This window comes from Homo sapiens, chromosome 2, assembly GCF_000001405.40.
Source record: "Homo sapiens chromosome 2, GRCh38.p14 Primary Assembly".
Lineage (NCBI taxonomy): Eukaryota > Metazoa > Chordata > Mammalia > Primates > Hominidae > Homo > Homo sapiens.
In genome coordinates, this window is record NC_000002.12 from 116,293,310 (window position 1) to 116,314,486 (window position 21,177).

The following is a 21,177-nucleotide window of genomic DNA, read 5'->3' on the forward strand; positions in this document are numbered from 1 at the left end:
TTCTATTTATAATCCTTTAAGAATTTTGAATTTGAATGCACATTTCTTTCTGAATTTTCTGATCATTATTTCTTCAAATAACCATTCGGTTCTTTTCACTTTTCTTCTGAAATTTTCATAATGGATATATTGGTTGGCTTGACAGTCAAAAATTCTTTAGGCTTTCTTTACTTTATTGTTTTTATTCTCTGACTTAATAATTTTAGATGAATTATCTTCAAGTTCACTGATTTCTGCCAAGCTGCTTTTGAATCCTTCTAGTAAAGTTTTCAATTCACTTATTGTATTCTTCAACTTCAGAATTTGTTTCTTTTGCATATATTCTATTTCTTTGTCAATGATCTTATTTTGTTTTTAAATTATTTTCCTGATTTTAATTGCTCATCTGTATTCTCTTATAGATTATGGATTTTTTAAAATGATAAATATTTTGAATTATTTGCCAGGTAATTCAGAGATCTCCATTTTTGGGGGTTTAGTTCTCAGAGACTTAGGCTGTTGCTGTTTTTTTTGCTAAGCTGTGTTTCTCTGGTTTGATTGTTGTTGTTTTGTCTCATTTGTCTTGTACTTTTGGTCACTTAGACTTATGCATTAGAAAAATATATTCTTCTGCAAGTTCTTATGGACTGGCTTCATACTTGGTAATATCTTCAACAGACAATCTGGCTAGAGATTCTGGGGACCAGAAAACCTTTTCGTGGGGGTTGTAACTTCTCCAAGCCTGTGCATGTAACCCCAATTACAGGGAGTTGCTGGTTTTCTTTTCAGGAGCTGGTAATCTCTGGTTATTTCTGGTGTTTGCCCGCAGTACTGCAGGTTCTGTGGTGCTGCAGCAACAAGTCTTCCTGTACTCTTTTATTCTCAGTGGTCCAGGGCATCCAAAGTATCCTGGCTCCTTGTCAGTTCTCTATGTCAGGCAAGACAGAAACCAGTTCTTTAGACAGCCTTTTGGAAAATCAGAAGGCCAGACACATATTTGATTATTTTCTCTCCCTCCTGAGGGAGAGACCCCAAATTGGGCACACCCTCCCAATTGTGCTGAGTTATACTAGCCTGTTTATAAAAGCACTGCAATTTCTTTCTTTTTTTTTTTATTTTTGAGACGAAGTCTCACTCTGTTGCCCAGGCTGGAGTGCAGTAGCGCGATCTCGGCTCACTGCAAGCTCCGCCTCCCGGGTTCACGCCATTCTCCTGCCTCAGCCTCCCGAGTAGCTGGGATTACAGGCGCCCGCCACCTCGCCCGGCTAATTTTTTGTATTTTTAGTCGAGACGGGGTTTCACCGTGTTAGCCAGGATGGTCCCGAACGCACTGCCATTTCTTTGGTGCTGCACTATGCCACCCCCACTCTCCCTTGTTTTCAGTGTTCCCAGCCACCCAAACTCTCAAGACTCCATCGATTTTCTGAGTCAGGTAAGGCAGAACTGATACGAGGTCAGCCCTCCAAAAAGCCAGAATACACCTTAACAAATTTCTTTTCCCTCCCCTGTGAAGAAGCTGTATGCTGGGCTTCTCTCCTGATGAAATTCAGCCATGCCAGTTTGGGGGTGGGGTAATTGCAGGTAAACCAAAATGTCTCTTTTTACCTATTTCAATGTGGCCGTTTGTAGCTTTGCACTAAATTTTGGGTACTGCAACTTATTAATTGGGTTTCAGTGTTCTCAAAAGGTATTTTGGTTCATATGTTATTTTTATGCTGGTGTCTCTGTAGGGAAATGAGGGCTGGCATTGGCTAATATCTTATTTACATATACGATTTCAGCAACATTTATACTAATATAGAAATATTTAATATTTTAGTGCTTAATTTGTCACCTGATAGTCACAAAAAAAGAAAACATGCATATAAAAATAATATAAATGAATTCATTCTAAATTTGAACATTTCCTGCTTATAAACGTGGTTCTGCAAAGATTTCACAGGTGTACTCTGGCTTAGCAGAGGAGAGGTAATTATGAGTGGAGCTTATTTCCCCCTAAGGTCCCTGCACATCTGCTTATATGCTTAGAAAATGTCACTGTAAAAATAACCAAAAGATACAAATTTTGGATTTCATCTTTAACAGATAATGGGAGGTTTGTGAGATGTCTTGAGGATGCTTTCAAAACTCTAGGAGATTTGGGAATTCATGGTAAGCACCAAAATTGCCTTCTTATATTTGTGACCATGACTTTTCAGTCAAATATTTAGAGTTTCATATTCCTTTTAGATTAGCATATAAAATAGTTACCTATCTGGATGCAAAAAAGCTGTAAGAAGTTTTGAAACTAGAATTGAATTCACAGTTTTTCACTTTTTATATATAGATGTACATATATTTTATTGAAATATGTAGAAAAATTGTATAATTAACACACCAGACCTAACATATTAGCGATAAGCAACCTATTAAAAATAGTCCTGAAAAATTGGACACACCTATTGCTAGATTGGAGAATAAGGGGTTAGGGAGTTACATTAGACTGGGTTTGGCTCCTGATTATATCTTTTACTCACTGTGTGACTTTAGTGAATTACTTCCACTGTTCTTAGCCTCAGTTGCTACATAATCAAAACAAGAATTATAATCTTTAACTCACATTATGAGAGTTAAATAAGATAAAATGTTCTTTGTAAGACATCAATTGGAATGTTCTATAAAGTTTTAGCCGCTGAAATGACAAAACATGTTTCATGAACTCATTGTTCAAAACAAAACTAACTGTTCTTATGAAATGTTTCTCAGAGCCTATAGAAAAAAATGAGAATGATTTTCTATGGTACAAAAAATAAAACTGATTTATTTCTTAAAATCCCAAATATCTTCTGAATGTTATCTAAAAGGTAACCTGAGAATTTTCTTAAAACATTTATATTATCTTATTTTATGAAGATACTGGAACTTTCAAGTTCCAAAGTAGCAGCATATATGCAAATTGGCTTTATTCCCCACCACAGATCATCAAAAACAAATACACAGCACTAATATTATCACCAGTAATATACCAAATCTGAAATATGAGGATGAGACAGTTGCCACAGCCACAGTGAGGTGAAGTCTCCAAAGAGATGGTAAAATAATTGGATTTTCATATTTGTGGTATCAAGCCTCTAATCTGCCTGGCATCAAGTGTGCAAGTATTTTCCCCTGACTCACAATTTCTACACTGCAAAAAGTAAAACTCTTGTGACAACCAGCTTTCCAACCATCTTAGTTCCCTGGCAGGAAATCTTTTTCTGCCAGGCAGAGAATGTGATTACTATCCCCAGCCCTAGAAACTTTGCTCTATAAATAGGTAAAAGGACACACCAAATCAGATAGGCTTTTCAGCAGCACTGTGCTACAGAAGGTACATTCCTTTGTTCCCCTGGGCATGAACAATTAGCCAGCCTTCCCACACTACTGGGATATCTCCCTAGGGACTTCCACCATTTGAAACAGGCAGTACTCTGATCCATTACTAGAGCCAAGGCAAACCTGGGTGAAACATACATCTAGTGTCAAAAAGGAGACAGAGACCCAGCAGGAAGTAAAAGAAAGAAACTCAACTGGTAAATTGCAAAGACTCTCTAAGCAAACATATCCAAGTAAAAACCAAAATAAACCAGACAAAAAGACCTCCTCAAGTTAACAAAGCAAGGAGCCAGTGACTGACCCTAATAAGATTGTGATATGTGAGCGCTATGATCAAATATTCAAAGTAGCAATTTTAAGGAAACTCAGTGATCTCCAAGATACCACAGAAAAGCAATTCATGCATTTATCAGAGAAATTCAGCAAGGATATTAAAATAATTTTAAGATATCAAGCAGAATTCTTAGAACTCTTAGAAGAATACAATTGCTAAACTGACAAATATATTAAAAGCCTGCAATATCAAAATGAATTAAGAAGAAAGAATCAGTGAGCTCAAAATTAGGATATCTGAAAGCACAAAGAGGAAAACAATGACAAAAGAATAAAAAGGGGAACAGTAGAAAGATTGCCTATAGAATATAGAAAAATACCTCAAAAAGGTCAGAACTAAGGATAATTGATACTCAAGAGGGAATTTAGCAAGAGGAAGGAAAAGAAAGCTTATTCAAATAAATAATAACAAAACCTTTCCAAAACTTGAGGATGATATAAATATCCAGATACAAGAAGATCAGAGAATACTAAACAGATTCATCCTACATAAGACTACTCCAAGGCAGATCTCTTGGACTAATAATCAAACTCTTCAAAGTCAAGGACAAAGAAAGGATCTCAAAGGTAGCAAGATAAAAGAAGCAAATAACCTATAAAAGAGCTCCAATTCATGTGGCAACAGACATGTCAGTGGAAACCATACAGAGAATGGGAAAACATTTTCAAAGTACTGAGAGAGAAAACAAAACAAAACACTACCATTCAAAAATACTGTATTGAGCAAAGCCAGTCTTCAAATATAAAGGAGGGAGAAAATCTTTCACAGACAAATAGTTGAGAGAATTTATCACCAGCAGACCCACCTTCCAAGAAATACTAAAGAGTGTGCTTCAATCCGAAAGACAAAAAAAAAACAAACACTAATGTGCAAAAAGATAACATTTAGAGGTATAAAACCCACAGAAAAAATTAACTAAATAGACCACCTTATAATACTCTGATGCTGTATTTTGTGAGATGCAATCCACTACCATCTCTAGTATGAAGCCTAAAAGACAAATATATCAAAAACAAAAATAGAGAAACCTGTTCAGAGATAGACATTATTAAAATATGTAAATTGAGACAACAAAAAGTCAAAATGTTGGGGGGGGATGGAGTCAAAATGTAGATAGTTTTAAACATTTTTTTGCTTTTTTTATGATATAAGTTGTCATCTCTTTAAAATGATTTATTACATCTATAATAGGTTTTTGTAAACCTCATGGTAGCCAAAATGCAGAAACCTGTAATAGGTATGTTAAAAATAAAAAGCAATGAATTAAAACATACTACAAGAGAAAATCACTTAACGATAGAGACAATAAAAAATGAAAACAGGGAAAAAAAGGAATTTCAAATGAAGTATAAAACAACCAAAAAATGGCAGTAAGTCCTTGTTTATTACCACTAACATCATTGAATGTAAATGAACTTAACTTTCCAGTTATAGAAAAAAGAGTGGCTGATTGAATAAAGAAACAAGAACCAACTACGCTGTCTACTAGAAATCCATTTCACCTGTAAAGACACACATAGACTGCAAGTGAAGGGATGGAAAGAAAAAGATATTCCATTCTAGTGGATACTAAAAAATAGGGGTAGCTATGCTTAGATAAAACAGACCAGAAGTCAAAGACTGTAAAAGAAAAATGTCACTACATAATGATAAATATTTCAATTCAGCAAGAAGATATATCCAATATAAATACTAATGCAAACAACACTGAAACACACAAGTATATAAAACAAACATTAATTAATCTGAAGGAAGATACAGACTGCAATTTAATAATCATTGAAAACTTCAACACCCCATTTACAGTAATGGACAGATCACTAAAACAGAAAATCAACAAGGAAACATCGCAGTTAAACTACACACTAAATCAAATAGGAATAACTGAAATTTACAGGACATTTCACCCAATGGCAACAGAATACACATTCTTTTTATCAACACATGGAAAATTTTCACAACGGGCTATATCTTAGGCCACAAAACAAATGTCAATAAATTCAAAAAAATAGAAATTATATTAAGTATTTCTTCCGAACACTGTAATACAAGTAGAAATACATAATAAGAGAAAACTAAAAAACTACACAAACACATCAAAATTAAACAACATGCTCCTGAATGACCAATGGGTCAATGAATAAATGAAGAAGGCAAATTTGAAAATTTCTTAAAAGACAACAAACAAAATCTGAGATACAGCAAAAGTAGTACTAGGCATGAGGTTTATAGCAATAAATACTTGCATAAAAAATAGAAAGACTTTAAATAAACAACCTAATGATACACCTCAAGGAAATAGAAAATCAGGAACAAACCAAATCCAAAATTAGTGGAAAGAAAGAAAAAATTAAGATCCGATCATAAATGAATGAAATTGAGATGAAAAAAATACAGAAAACCATATAAATGAAAAGGCTTTTTCTTGATAAGTAAAATCAGCAAAACTTAACTAGGAAAACAGAGGAGACCCAAATAGAATCAGAAGTGATAACGATGACATAAAACTGAGACTACAGAAATAAAATAAAAAAAATTAGAGACTATTGGGAACAACTTTATGCCAACAAATTGGAAAACTTAGAAGAAATTCATAAATTCTTGGACACATACCACCTACCAAGATTGAACTATGAAGAAATAAAAAAACTTCTGTAAACCAATAAAGAGCAACAAAATTGAAGCTATAATAAAATGTCCCCCATCAAAGAGAAGCCCAGGACCTGATGGCTTCAATGCTGAATTCTACCAAACATTTAATAAGAATACCAATTCTACTCAAACTCTTCAAAAAAAAAAAAAAAAAATGACAGGGAGATACTACTTCCAAATTCATTCTACAAAGCCAGCACTATTTTGATGACTAATACCAAACTAGGACACAACAACAACAAATAAAAATAAATAAATAAACTACAGGCCAATATCACTGATTAACATAGATATAAAAATCCTCAACAAAAAAAATACAAGGAAACTCAATTTAACAACACATTAGAAAGATTATTCACCATGATTAAGTGGGATTCATCCTAGGGATGCAAGGATGGTTCAATAAATCAATAATTGCACTATTATTGATTGCAATGCAATAAACATGATAAAACATTTTAACAGAACCAAGAACAAAACAATACTATCATTTCAAATATATGCCAAAAATAATTTTATAAAATCCAATATCATTTTAGGATTAAAAAAAACACTCAACAAACTGGGTATAGAAGGAAAGTATCTCAAAATAATAAAAGCTGTATGTGACAAAGCCACAGCCAGTGTCCTGCTGAACAGGGAAAAACTGAAAGCCTTTTCTCTAAGATCTGGAACAAGAAAAATTTACTTTCACCACTTTTATTCAACATAATACTGGAATTCCTCACCAGAACAATCATACAACAGAAATAAAGAACACTGAAATTGGAATGGAAGAAGTCAAATTAAGATTTTTGTCTGATATAATCTTATAAGAACCTAAAGAGTCCACCAAAAAACTGTTGGAACTGCTCATTTCAATAAAATTACAGGATACAAAAATCAGTAGCATTTATATACTCCAAGAGCAAACAGTCTGAAAGGAAATCAAGAAAGCATTCCTGATTACAATAGCTACAAATAATATAAAATACCTAGGATTCAATTTAACCAAAGATGTGGGCTGGGCGTGGTTGCTCACACTGGTAATCCCAGCACTTTGGGAGGCCGAGGCAGGCAGATCATGAGGTCAGGAGTTCAAGAGCAGTCTGGCCAACATGGTGAAACCCCGTCTCTACTAAAAATACAAAAATTGGCTGGGCATGGTGGTGCGTGCTTGTAATCCCAGCTACTCGGGAGGCTGAGGCAGGAGAATCACTTGAACCAGGACCTGGGAGGTGGAGGTTGCAGTGAGCCAACATCGCGCCACTGCACTCCAGCCTGGGCTACAGAGCGAGATTCCATCTCAAAAAAAAATATATATATATATGCGAAAGAATTATACTATACAAAACTAATACTATAAAACAATAATGAAATAAATTGAAGAGGCAACAAGAAATGGTGGTTTATGCTAATTATTGGAAAAATTAATAATGTTAAAATGAAAATATTATTCAAAGCAATTTACATATTCAATGACATCTCTATCAAAATACCAATGACATTCTTCCGGGAAATAGGAAAAAAAAATGCCTAACACTTACGTGGATCCACAAAAGACTTCGAATAGCCAAAGCAATCCTGAACATAAGGGACAAAAGCAGAAGTGTTACAATACCTGATTTCAAAATATCTCACAAGGCTATAGTAACAAAATCAGCATGCTACTGGGGTAAAAACAGAAACATAGAGCACTGGAACGTAATAGAGAACCCAGATATAAATCCACACAGTTACAGCCAATTCAGTTTTGACAAAGGCACCAAGAACATACAATGGGGAACAACAGCCTTTTAAATAAATACTGGTAGGGAAACTTGATAACCATATGCAGAAGAATGAAACTATATCCCTCTTCTCACCATATACAAAAATAAAATCAAAACAGATTAAACATTTAAATCTAAGGCCTGAAATTATGAAATTAATACAAGAAAGCTAAAGGCAACAAAAGAAAAAAATAGACAAATGAGATTACATCAAAAGAAAAAGTTTCTGCACAGCTAAATATATAAAGTAAAGAGACAACCTACAGAATAAAATAACCTATTTGCAAACTCTCCATCAAGGGATTAATAACCAGAATATAAAAGGAGCTCAAACAACTCAATAGCAAAAAACACCAAATAATTTTATTTAAACATGAGCTAAAGTCTAAAAAGACATTTCTCAAAATAAGACATACAAATGGCCAATAGGTATATGAAAAAATGCTCAACATCATTAATCATCAGATGAATCCAAATCAAAACCACAATGAGATATTATCTCACCCTAGTGAATATGGCTTTTATTGAAAAGACAGGGAATAATAAATGCTGGTGAGGATGTGGAGGAAAGGAACTCTTGTACTCTCTTGGTGGGAGTGAAAATTAGTACAGTCACTATAGGAAACATTATTGAAGTGACTTTATTTTTTTGAGGTATGTTCCTTCTATACACAGTTTATTGAGGGTTTTTTATTGTAACTTTCATATGATCTAGCAATTCTACTACTGGGCATATATCCAAAAAAGGAAATTAATATATCAAAGAGCTGTCTACACTCCCCTGTGTTTTGCAGAACTATTAATAAGACAAACTATGGAATCAACTTAAGTGCCCATCAATGGTTAAACAGATGAAGAAAATTGATATATACTACACAATGATATATAATTCAACATAAAAATAATAAAATCCTGTCATTTACAGCAACATGAATAGAACTGAAATTAGGTAAAATAAGCCAAGCAAAGAAAAATATTGCATGTCCTCATCCATAAGTGGGAGGTAAAATGGTGGAGCCCATGAAGGTAGCAGATTTGTAGTTACCAGAGGCCAAAAGAGGTAGGCAAAGATGAAGGGCGTTTGATTAATGGGTGCAAATATACAGTTAGAAGATATAAGACCCAGTATTCAATAGTTCAGTAGGGCGACTATAGTTAGCATTAATCTACTGTATTTTTCAAAATAGCTAGAAGAGACTAATTTAAGTGTTCCTAGCATAAACAGAAATATTTAAGGTGATGAATATCCTGATTAAGCTAATTTGATCATTACACATTATGTGAATGTATCAAATTACCCTCAAAATATGTGCATCTGTTATGTATCAGTTAAAATTTTAAAAATTGCACTCCAGTCTGGGTGAAAGAACGAGACTCTATCTAAAAAATAATGCATAATAAAAATTGAAATAAAAAATTTAAAAATATGAAGATGCTGTTAAGAGCAAAATACTATTTGAAGCTATCAAATATTGCTTAAAAATCCTTTCATTCCTAAGTGTCATACTACCTTAGTTATTTTAGACCACTCTTTCTTACGCTGGATTTCTCTGCAACCTTCATGACTGTCTGAAATATTTTTAGTGTCCATGGATAATCCATATGTTTAATTGTATACTGTTATACTAAAATGGAATATTAATAAAAGCATAATGCAATTATTAGGCTATCACCTATATTGATAAGCACTTCTAGGCAATTTCCAATATTGGTATTTACACTTATATTTCAGGTTATATTGATGCATAAAGTATTACTTCATCACTGACTAATAAAAATAAATAGAGACAGATTTAATGTAGATATAATATACTTAAGTTGGTTTAATGCAAAACAACATGTAGGCGCACTGTAAAAATATTTAACTATAGGATTGTAGGGAGAAAAATAGTGGGAAAATTGAACTGTAACTTGGTGGCCAATGATTGTTCAGGAATGCCAAACACAACAAAATCTGAATATCAGCAGTCAATTTGATGTTCTTGTATGTATTTATAAAATATTTTATGGAGCTCCTTTTAGGCAGAAATTTCAGTACCATCAGTTATATTGAATTATCCTTTGTGATTTAAAATTTAAGAATTTTACTTGTATTTTTAGTTGTATAAAGGTTATAATGAGAAGTTTACATTTGTATGTTCAACTAATATAAAAATAATTCAAGGCAATATTTGTTTTATTTCCCTTAAAAGTGTTCTGAACTTATGCAAATCAAATAAACACTGATAGAGTACATGGTGCTTCAAAGGTATGGTTCAGTTTCTGAGTAACCCAGAGGCCTGCTCACTCCAGAGACATAGTCTACATCTCAACTCTTTGTAGGCCAAGGTATGCATAAAGGTTGATCAAGAGAACAAGACTGATGACTCATGAAATACATTTACTGAAGCAATATTCCATGTTGCCATGCAAATATTATTATTGCCATTTTACTGAGGTGGGAATGGAGACTGAGAGGAATTCAGAGTAATGGACATTACACAGACAGTACAAAATATGGGCTCCAGAGCTGGAATTCAAATCATTGTTTCTCTGATTCCAAGGTTCTCTAATATTAAATGCCCACAAATAAGAAACAGAAAATAAATAGTAAAATATTACCCACCATATCTGAAGTTTTTTATTAGAAAGTTCATTGAATAAACATCCAAATTTATTTTCTGAGAGACAACATAGGCTAACATGCATTAATATGGACATATTATTAAAAAGGGGAAATTAAAAGTCATCTATTTTTCCACAAGGAATGATATGGAAAATGTCTATTCATATTATCATTGCTACTAAAGCAGTTTTTACTACTGAATTTTTGTTTTTACATCAAAATTAATGACTCAGAGAGAATAACGGGCCCTAAAGATGACGACTTTATTCTATATCTTTATAATACCATTATATTATTGACGTAACCACCTAGAGAAGTTCATGGTTTCAATATTTGGAATCCATTCTGCTTTCTAACACAGTAAAATGTCTTGTTTCTTAGCCAGCTAAGTTTCTTAGCAAGGCCTAAGATTTGCTTCATTATCTAGCTCCTAATACTCTTCATAGTTTTGTCTCCTAACACTTCCCCTGAATGCCATATAGACTGGCCATGCCTTCCTTGTTACTATTCCCGGAAGACAGCATTCACTTTCACATCCCCACTTCACTGCCTGTGCTGTTTCCTTTGCCAGGAACCATTCTTCTCTCACTTCATTCTTGATGAGTGGTTACTCTTCCTCCAGGGCTCTGCTCAATTTTAAATCTTTCTGGAAGCTGATTGGACTAATCCCATACCTTACATACTCATTAGAATAGCTCACAACTTTTGCCTCAGGCTTCAAATCACACCAAATATTAGGCTCTATAAGCAGTTACTTCAATGTGACTTTTACAATTACTTCTTTTCTAAACACTTATCTACGGCAAGAAATAAGTCTTTATCACCTTTATGGCTCTAGAACCCAGTTGAATAACATTATAGGTCTTAAATAAACCAATATAAATGGATGGATGCAGCTTTTGTGAAATAACTATAATCAAGTCATCAATAAAGAAGACAAATTATAAATGTCTTGCTTTTAAGACAAGAAATAAATTTTGATTAAAAAACATCAATTTATAGATGGAGCACATTCCAAGGGAATGAAATTGTATCTTAAAAACAAGAAAGCAGAAGTGATATCCTAAACAAGGAATTGCAACTGGAATTTTGTCTATGTGGTGCTAACTGATATAAAGATTTATACTTCTTTCCTTTTAAAATACTGTCATTATAAAATTAATATATATTAGAAAATGTAAAATTAAGATTAAATCAAATAATTTATACTCACACTACATAGGATGTCTAATGTTAACTTTGTGGTGAATCTCTATGTTCACACACCTGTCAGTGTGCTTTTTAAATACATAATTTATTAACTACTTAATATATTCCATGGCAGACCTTCAGAAATTCAATGGAGAAAACAATTAGACAAGGTCTCTGTCTTTGTGAAACTAAGTTAATGAAGGCATTAATCAAACAATCTAAAAATATATTTATAATTATAAATAATGTAATGTGTCATAAGGGAAAAATAAATAGTATTATGTGAGTGTATATAATGGGCTCATGACTAAGAGTTAAGGGAAATTTTCATTGGGACAACAATACGTAACTTGAAATCTGAATATTAAAATGTTACTATTTAAATAATAAGGAGCTATATTTGACAAAATAAACATCTGGTCATATCACTAGATGATAAAATCCTCCAGTGGATTTTATCACAATACAAATGAGAGACCACTGGAGGGTATTGTAGATAGAATACGTTGAACAGATATAGCATAGGTCATTTTATTTTTGTGAAAATAAGCCACAATACCTTATTTGCAAAGTAACTTACATTTAATTTATATGAAGAAGGGCAAAAATGTCATGCCTCAGAGGCAAAATATGTAATATTGGGAAAAGGAAGGAAGGCTCATGTGTTCATTTAGCTTTCTAGCCCCAAAATCGTTATCACTCCTTCTAAAGGATGCTCACATTACAATTGGCCAAAACCAGTTTGCAATATTTTAATGAAAGTCTCTTCAAACATAAATCCAAGCTTAAAAATGATTGGTAAATCTTTATAGAATAATTTGCCCCTTATATGCCACTTCTTTCTTTATATAAAAAATTTCTATTGGGCATTTCACGTGATGCTTATAGATTTGTATTTGTACTAATTGTACTGGATAATCAGAAAATATAGTTTCTGATTATAGAAATAGTTATAATTATTTTTTCAGAAACACATTTTTTGGGGAGGAAAGCCACTTTTTTGTTTTTTTTTACCTTGGGTCTAACAAGTTTGAAATTCAACATAGCCCTCTCTGATTCTGATAGAGTAACAAGAAAGACAGACAAAAATGTAAAAATCTCTGCAATTTATATTCTACATTTCGGTGCTGCAGTAATGTATTAGGTTGTTCTATTTGTGTATGGAAACAAATGAACAAAAAATAGTGAATAAGGGGAACAGAGTGATTTTGTGAAATATAAAAATGTATATTTATTTTTGTTTCAAGCACGGTTCTGCAGTGCTTGTCATACATCTCCAACCAAATGCAGAAAGAGAAGTTTTTCATTACTTATGTGATGGGAATGATTCAGTCAAGCTTAGGACACATAGGATTCAAATTATAAACACTAATGAATACTCTGGAGTTTGGAATTCTCAATAGAGACATGTCTGAGTATTAAGCCCAACATTCTAAAAGAAGACAGAAATAGTTTTTTTTAATTCTATTTCTGCTACTTGTTCACTGTGTGGATTCAGACAATTACCTAACCTCTCTGATCTGCAAAATGAGAATAACAACATGTAATTGACAGGATTATGTTTGGACATAGATAAGATATTGCAGGTAAAATTCTTGGCATAAAGAGGCTTGGGAGAATTCCATCTTAGGCAATAGAATATAAATCAAAAGATAACACAAGTTTACCAAAGCTAGCATTTATATAAGTATTATTTCCATATTTTTATAGCTAAAATGTGTCTGTATGTATACATATAACATATATGTGTACATATATACACACATAACATATATATACACACATATAAGAATTCTAGGCTGTCTTAGTAATGGCACTCAGAAAACACTGAAATCACAGATTTAATTTAAAGAAGTTTTGGGGTAAAAGGTATTTAGGTGTCAGTATTACAGATGCTTCAACAGATGGACAATAATATCCAAAAACATCTACCAAACAGAAATTCTTATATGGCCTAGAGGAACGAATCTTGATGGTCTGACAGGGATAGATGAAATATTTTAATGTTTCTATTTTTAAGCTTAGAAAATTTATGGCTTTGATAATTGTATACTGCCTTTTATTCCTTCACTTCATTCCTTCCATTCATTTGGATTCTCACTGTCATTTAGCTTCATCTGAATTCCTCACAAGTTAGAATTACTTTTCCCACTTCCATTGATTGACTTACTGAACACCTTTTTGCCCACTGCAATGCCAAACTAATATCCGTGTAGAAAATCTACTTTTATTCTTCAATAATTGTCTGAAGCATTTGTCAATACATCTCCCCCAATAAAACGTAGAGGCGAGTACAGTTAAGCACTGTTCAAGTAAACTCAACTTTCTCTTCACATACACAGACATAGCCACCTTACCCCAGCCCGCAAAACACATACACACAGTTGGAAAAATAATAATAGCTATTTGTGAAATGTGAAACTAAATATATTCTTACTTTTCTGTAGTTTTGACAATGAACATGTGTTGCATATTTTAAATATTATCTTTTACTGGTATAAACTATGAGTCCATATTTTTGTGAGGGCACTCAAAGAGTAGAAATGTAATAAATCAAGGCAGAATGTATAGTAAATACAAATGATTTTTGAGGATTGCAAAGATATTTATGGATGAAACATGATAGATGCAGGCTTACAAGCACATATGTATTCATAATGGGAATTTGCATCTTCCCTTTCTCTCTTATTACTGTGAAATATTCTCACCTTAAAGTTTATAACTAAAAGACAAGGCCGGGCATAGTGGCTCATGCCTGTAATCCTAGCACTTTGGGAGGCCGAGGTGGGAGGATCACCTGAGGTCAGGAGTTCAAGACCAGCATGGCCAACATGGCAAAACCCTGTCTCTACTAAAAATACAAAGATTAGTCAAGCATGGTGGAACACACCTATGATCCCAGCTACTCGGGAGGCTGAGGCAAGAGAATGGGTTGAACCAGAGAGGCAGAGTTTGCAGTGAGCCAAGATAGTGCCACTGCACTCCAGCCTGGGCGACAGAGCAAGACTCTGTCTCAAAAATAAATAAGTAAATAAATAAATAAAAATGAAAGACAGCAGATGGTGAAGGGAAATATAACAAGAATAGGTCACTCAAATTACTGAGTGTCCTTCTTTCAAACTTCTAAGGAAAGATGCCTTCTTGCATTATTCCACAAGATACTTCTCAGAGTAAACTGCATAAAATAAAGAAGTTTCTACTGATTCAAAAATATTTTATTTTATTTGTGCCAATCTGAATGTTTTCTATCAATCACTGCTACTTTTGTAAAAATATTGCTTAGGATGTAATTGTTATTGATCATTAATATTCAATTACAATTTTTGCTTTTTTACATTATAGATTTTGTATTTGTCTCAATTATATTCTCATATTATCATACTTAGAAGTATTAGTATTAATATATGCTAAAATTTATTATGATTATATTAATATAACAGCTTTTATAACACAGAAAAAAATTTTGCTAGCATCTCCTGAAAGTAATTCAGAAAAGTTTATATTTTATTTAAAAATGAAACTAAAATATAGTTTCTGATTATAGCAATAGTATGACTTCAAAATAATTTTAAAATACTGAATATTTTGTCCTGTCTCAGTTTTTAGTATATTTATATTTACCAAAATTGATAATTATTTAGAAGAAAAAGCCAATTTGCATTTCAACGTGGAATATAAAAAGAGATAATGCCTTTCCTTATAATTTATTTATCAATAGAGCTAAATCAACAGTGAGAGAATACTTTATGATGGAGTGGCAGTTAATACACACACACTCTCTCTCATAAATTACATATTACTCCTTAATACCTGAAATACAAACATATCTACTGAAGTGACTGAAATTGTATGAAGAGTCTAAAATTTAACATTTTAACATAAGAGAATATTGAGTATCAGAACAACTTGTTTGTATTTGAGCAGATTGATGATTTTGTTAATGAAGTTACATAATTGATTATTTTCTTAACATTTGAGTTGACTATGAGTTTAATTTATAGCAAAACTCTTACAAATGCAAAATAAAATACTGTTTAAAACAAACTCCAGTAAAATGTTGTTGCAAAATATCTCTGTGTAATATAGAGAAACTAGATTCATGCCCTTCAGAATATTTATTTTATCCCTGTAGATTATTAATATTGGGTTCAAAGACTCCTGAATTTTGAACAAATATACAGACTGAAGCAAAATAGAAATATAATAGAAGACATTATAGAGACAATGCCTGGATGTTGGTTGAAAATTCAAAGGTAAATATTTTGTCATTGAGAAAATAGCAAATCCTAGAGGTCTGCTGATATTTCATTTTAAATTTATTTTTTACTTATAATTGACACATAATAATTGTGCATATTTCTGATATGTAATGTAATGTCTCACTGTATGTACAGTGTAATGATTAAATCAGGGTAACCATCATATACATCACTTTTAGCATTATTTATTTGTAGTGACAACATTCAAAATCTCTTCCAGTGATCTTTAACTACACGTTGTTACTTGCTACAGTCATCCTAGTGTGTAAAGAACACTAAAGCGTATTCCTACTATCTGCAACTTTGTACCCATTGACCAACTTCTCCCATTCCCCTTATTCTCCCTCATATCCCCAGTCTCTGGTAACCAATATTCTACACACTCTACTTCCATGAAATAAACTTTTTTTAGATTTCACGTATGAATGAGATCATATGGTATTTTTCTTTTTGTGTCTGGCTTATTTCACTTAACATAACGTTCTCCAGGTTCATTCATGTTGCTACAAATGATAGAATTTTATTCTGTTTTATGGCTACATAGTATTCCATTATGTATATAGCCATATTTTCTTTACCCATTCTTCATTGGATGGGCATTTAGGTTGATTCTGTACCTTGGCTTTTGTGACCAGCTCTGCAATAAACATGGGCATGCACATGTCTTTGCTACTTATTGCTTTTCTTTTGGATAGATACCCAGTTATGGGATTGCTGGATCATATGGTAGTTCTATTTTTAATTTTTTGAAGAAACTACACTGGTTTCCACAATGGTTGTACTAATTTACATTCCCACCAACAGTGTATAAAAGTCCCTTTTCTCCACATCCTCATCAGCATTTGTCACATTTTTGTCTTTTTGATAACAGCTATTCTAATGAGGGTTAGGTGATATCTCATTTTAGTTTTTATTTGCATTTCTCCAATGATTAGTGGTGATGAACATTTTTTCATATACCTGTTGGCTATTTGTATGTCTTCTTTTGAGAAAAGTCAGTTTGGGTCCTTGGCCCATTTATAAATTGGATTTTTTTTGTTATTGTTGTTTGTATGCTATTGAGTTGAGTTCCTTATATCTTCTGGACATTAGCTACTTGTCAGATGCATAATTTGCAAATACTTTCTCCCATTCTGTAGGTTGTCTCTTCACTTTATTGTTTCTTTGCTGTGCAGAAACTTTTCTGTTTGATATAATCTCATTTGTCTATTTTTGCTTTGGTTGTCTGTTCTTTGAGTCTTACTCAAAAATTCTTCACTCACTCCAATTCGTGAAGAATTTCCTCTGATTTTTTTTAATCATTTTATACTTTTTAGTCTTACATTTAAGTTGTTGGTCTATTTAAAGTTGATTTTTTATATAATGAGATATAGGGATCTAGTTTTATTTTTCTGCATGTGGATATCCAGTTTTCCCAATGCCATTTACTACATTAACAGAATCAAGGTAAAAAATTAAATGATTATTTCAATGGATGCTGGAAACACATTTGATAATATTTCATATCTCTTTATGATAAAAACCCTCAACAAAGTGGGTATAGAAGGAACATGTCAGCACAATAAAGGCTATATATGACAAGCCACAGCTCACTGAATGGGTAAAATTCAGAGAAAAATTTTTATCTGAGTTCTAGTACAGGGCAATGATGCCCATTTTCATTACCTTTATTCAACACAGTACTAGAAGCCTTAACCAGAGTAAACTGGCAAAATAAAGAAAAAGAGTGCATAGAAATTGTAAAGGAGGAAGTTGTCCCTGTTTGCCTATGACACGATTGTACATATAGAACACCCTAAAAATTTCAGCAAAAAAAAAACTATTAGAATTAACATATTTAGTTAAGTTGCAGGATACAAAACCAACATGTTAAATCAGTAACATTTCTACACACCAATAGTGAATTATATAAAAAAGAAATCAAGAAAGCAATTTCATTTATAATAGCTACAAAGAATGTATACCTAGGAATAAACTTAACTAAGAACATAACAGGTTTCTATAATGAAAACTATAAAGTAATAATGAAGGAAATTGAAGAGGACACAAATAAATGAAAAGAGATAACCTGTTCACAAATTAGAAAAATTAATATGAAAATGTCTGTATTACTCAAAACAATCTACAGATGCAATGCAATTTCCATCAAAATGCCAATTACATTTTTCAGAGATAGAAAAAAATTCTAAAATGTATATGGAAAGGAAAAAGAAAATGGATAGTTAAAAAAAAATCTTGTGCAATAATAGCAAACCTGGAGGTATCACACTACCTCACTCTAAAATATTCTACAAAACTATAGCAACCAAAACAGGATGTTACTTGCATAAAAACAGGCATATAGACTAACGTAACAGAATAGACAACTGAGAAATAAATCTATGTATTTACAGCCAAGTGATTTTCAACAAAGACCTCAAGAAGGCACACTGAGAAAAGGACAATCTTTCAAAATTCCATTTAATACAATTGAATTCAATCAGGGTCATGACTTACATAAACAAAATTGAATTGGAAATGACTGTTCAATACTGACAGGAAAAAAAAAAACACAACATATCTGGTATAAGTTTAAAAGTTGGTGAAGTGTGGTATCTCTAAAAACTTCTCCTATACCGCCTTATTTCACATTGACATTCTGTTTAATTTAGCAAAAACACATAAATTGCTCTCCATTAGGAACTGAATCATTAGCTCTACCAGCTTTGCCACAAAGTGAGTTATTTAACCTATTTGGACCTCAGTGTTTTTAGTTGAAATTAGGAATTATAGTAACTTGAAATTTCCTATAAAACACAAACTAAGAGACAAATTCAAAGCTACAAAAATTTGTCATCAAAAAGTAAAATGGCCCCTGAGTCAGAGAAAGTTTAGAATGAAGACACTGAAGTGTCTTTTAATAATACATAGATCACAGTAAGAGTTGGGCAGCTTCTGAGAAACAGACAAATGTCAGAGAGGCTTCTTTCAGAAGCATTCATCTCATCTTTTGCAGACAGGATAGAACCTACTGCTGTTAAATTTTGAGTGTTATTGTTCTGGGCATCTTCAACAAGAGATTGAGAACTCTTATTGTAATTGTGTTGACCCATTTAGTTCTTTCTTGATGAATACCAAATGTTACATGGTTAAGAGCACAGATTTAAATCCAGATTGGCTGGATTCAAAATCCAAGCTCTTGTACTCTGAGACATATGAATTTCAGAAAGTAATCTGACATCTCTGTTTCAGCTATTCCTCATCTATAAAGATATTGTTACAAGGACAAATGGGATAATATTTATAAAGTGCTTAGAAGAGTGTCTGACACATAGCAAGAACTCTACACATGGTTGAAAATAATAACAGTAATAATGATTGGGCTTTTAACTTAAAGCCACCTACAAGGGAAGAATATGTGGCTTGTGTAATATAACTTTTTCCCTGAAAGACATATCACTTTTACAAGGAAAAATAAGATTAGATTTCTAAACCTTTGAGTCTGAGGATCAGAACTCTGATCAATTTGCCAATGTCATCAATGCCAACACAAGCTTCTTGTGGTAGACTTAACTAGGCAGTAATAGCGATTCCTGACTTGCCTTCTGGAAGTGAAACTTCAATGATAGGTCTGCATTAGAGACTTGGAAAGCACAAATGAAAGAGCCACACTTTGAAAGAGCTAAGATGAAAGGGTTAGAATTCAACTATATCTGTCTGACTACCGAGCCTGAGATTTGTCTATTTTTTTTAATATTTTATTATGGTGAATTTCAAACATGTTTAATAGGAGACAGAATAGGATAATGAACTTCCATGCATATATCACCTAACTTCAACAGCTACCAACCCATAGCCAATCATGTCTCATTTTTATTCTTTTTCTCACTTCCTGACTTCAGATATTTAAAGGAAAGAAAATAATAGTTTGTGTGAATTAGAAATTAGAAAAAAATCATAAACTGTGAATTAAACAGAAAGTAAAAATCCTTCCTTTCAGACCAGTATGGTCAGAGGGCTACCATAATTCAAATTATGAAAAATTAAATAAATTTAACTTTGGACTTATAAACATAAAAATATAGAAAAAAAATTACCTATCATTTGGATCTCTTGAATGTGTTGAATATCTAACAAAATGTGCAAACAAGCATGAACTGAATTTGAAGTGTGGTGGGAATCAAGTTGAATAAAATTGCGTTATTTTTCTAACTCAGATTATATGTAATGCAATGTTAAATGAAATAATACCTCTTCAATTTCTTGAGCAGGACTGAAATTAAATTTTTTTTATGCCTTTGTGGTTTTTCTTTTAGTCTCTTCCACTTTCTATTTTTCTGAACACTTCCATGTATCCCTTTTATGTCCCTTTGCCTTTCCTAATAATATTTATTCTCCCTTCTTAATCATGTCAATTAGACCTGCTTTATTAAGCAAAACTTAGTTAAAGTGCTGTCTTTTCTTGTCAGTACGTCCTAAAATCACTATTCCTGTATCATTTATTAAGTATCCTGCTTTTGGTATTTTCCTCTAAATTCTCGTAACACTTAATGATTGATACAGTCACACTGCTGAATTGTTGTCAATCTTCTAGGTATAAAAAAAATTGTCATCTTAGTTTTATTATAGTTGTGGCATTTTTTTCTCTTTTGAATTATGTATATATTTCTGTCCTGATCATCATTATAATAGCACATATTACATAGTAATTTGGCATTTATTTTCTTGTTGCTTTCCAACACTGGACTGTCTACTCCTTGAATACCCAAGCTTATTCATTTGTATCTCTTCTAGGAGCAGGAAGATTTGGAGCAGAAAGATTATGAGTTTCTTTTTGGACATAATATTAAAGAGTTGTCTTAGATATTTAAAAGAAAATATCAAGTAAGCCTCTGAGAGTATGCTTCTGAATCTCAAAGAAGAGATTTAGGGTAGAGGTCCTATGGGGGGTAAAAAATAATCATTGGCTTCAAGGACAGTGAAGGCATTGAGTTCTGAATAGGAGATATTTGGAATGAGACATAGGGCAGAAGCCAGATAGGAGTGGAGTGAGGAGAGTCTTTCAAATGAGGA

At 32.5% G+C, this 21,177-nt stretch overlaps 1 long non-coding RNA gene across 2 annotated transcripts in view; it reads left to right on the forward strand.

Annotated features, from left to right (window-relative positions):
• The first annotated feature begins 1,267 nt into the window (after nt 1-1,267).
• Nucleotides 1,268-21,177, forward strand: part of LOC105373576 (uncharacterized) — a 93,637-nt gene continuing 73,727 nt past the window's right edge. The window contains exons 1-3 of one of the 2 annotated variants that reach the window (XR_923240.1): nt 1,268-1,411; nt 2,065-2,130; nt 15,999-16,076. This is a non-coding gene — a long non-coding RNA (uncharacterized LOC105373576). Of the gene's footprint in view, nt 1,412-2,064; nt 2,131-15,998; nt 16,077-21,177 lie in introns of those variants that run through there. The other variant, XR_923239.2, reaches the window with a different exon arrangement.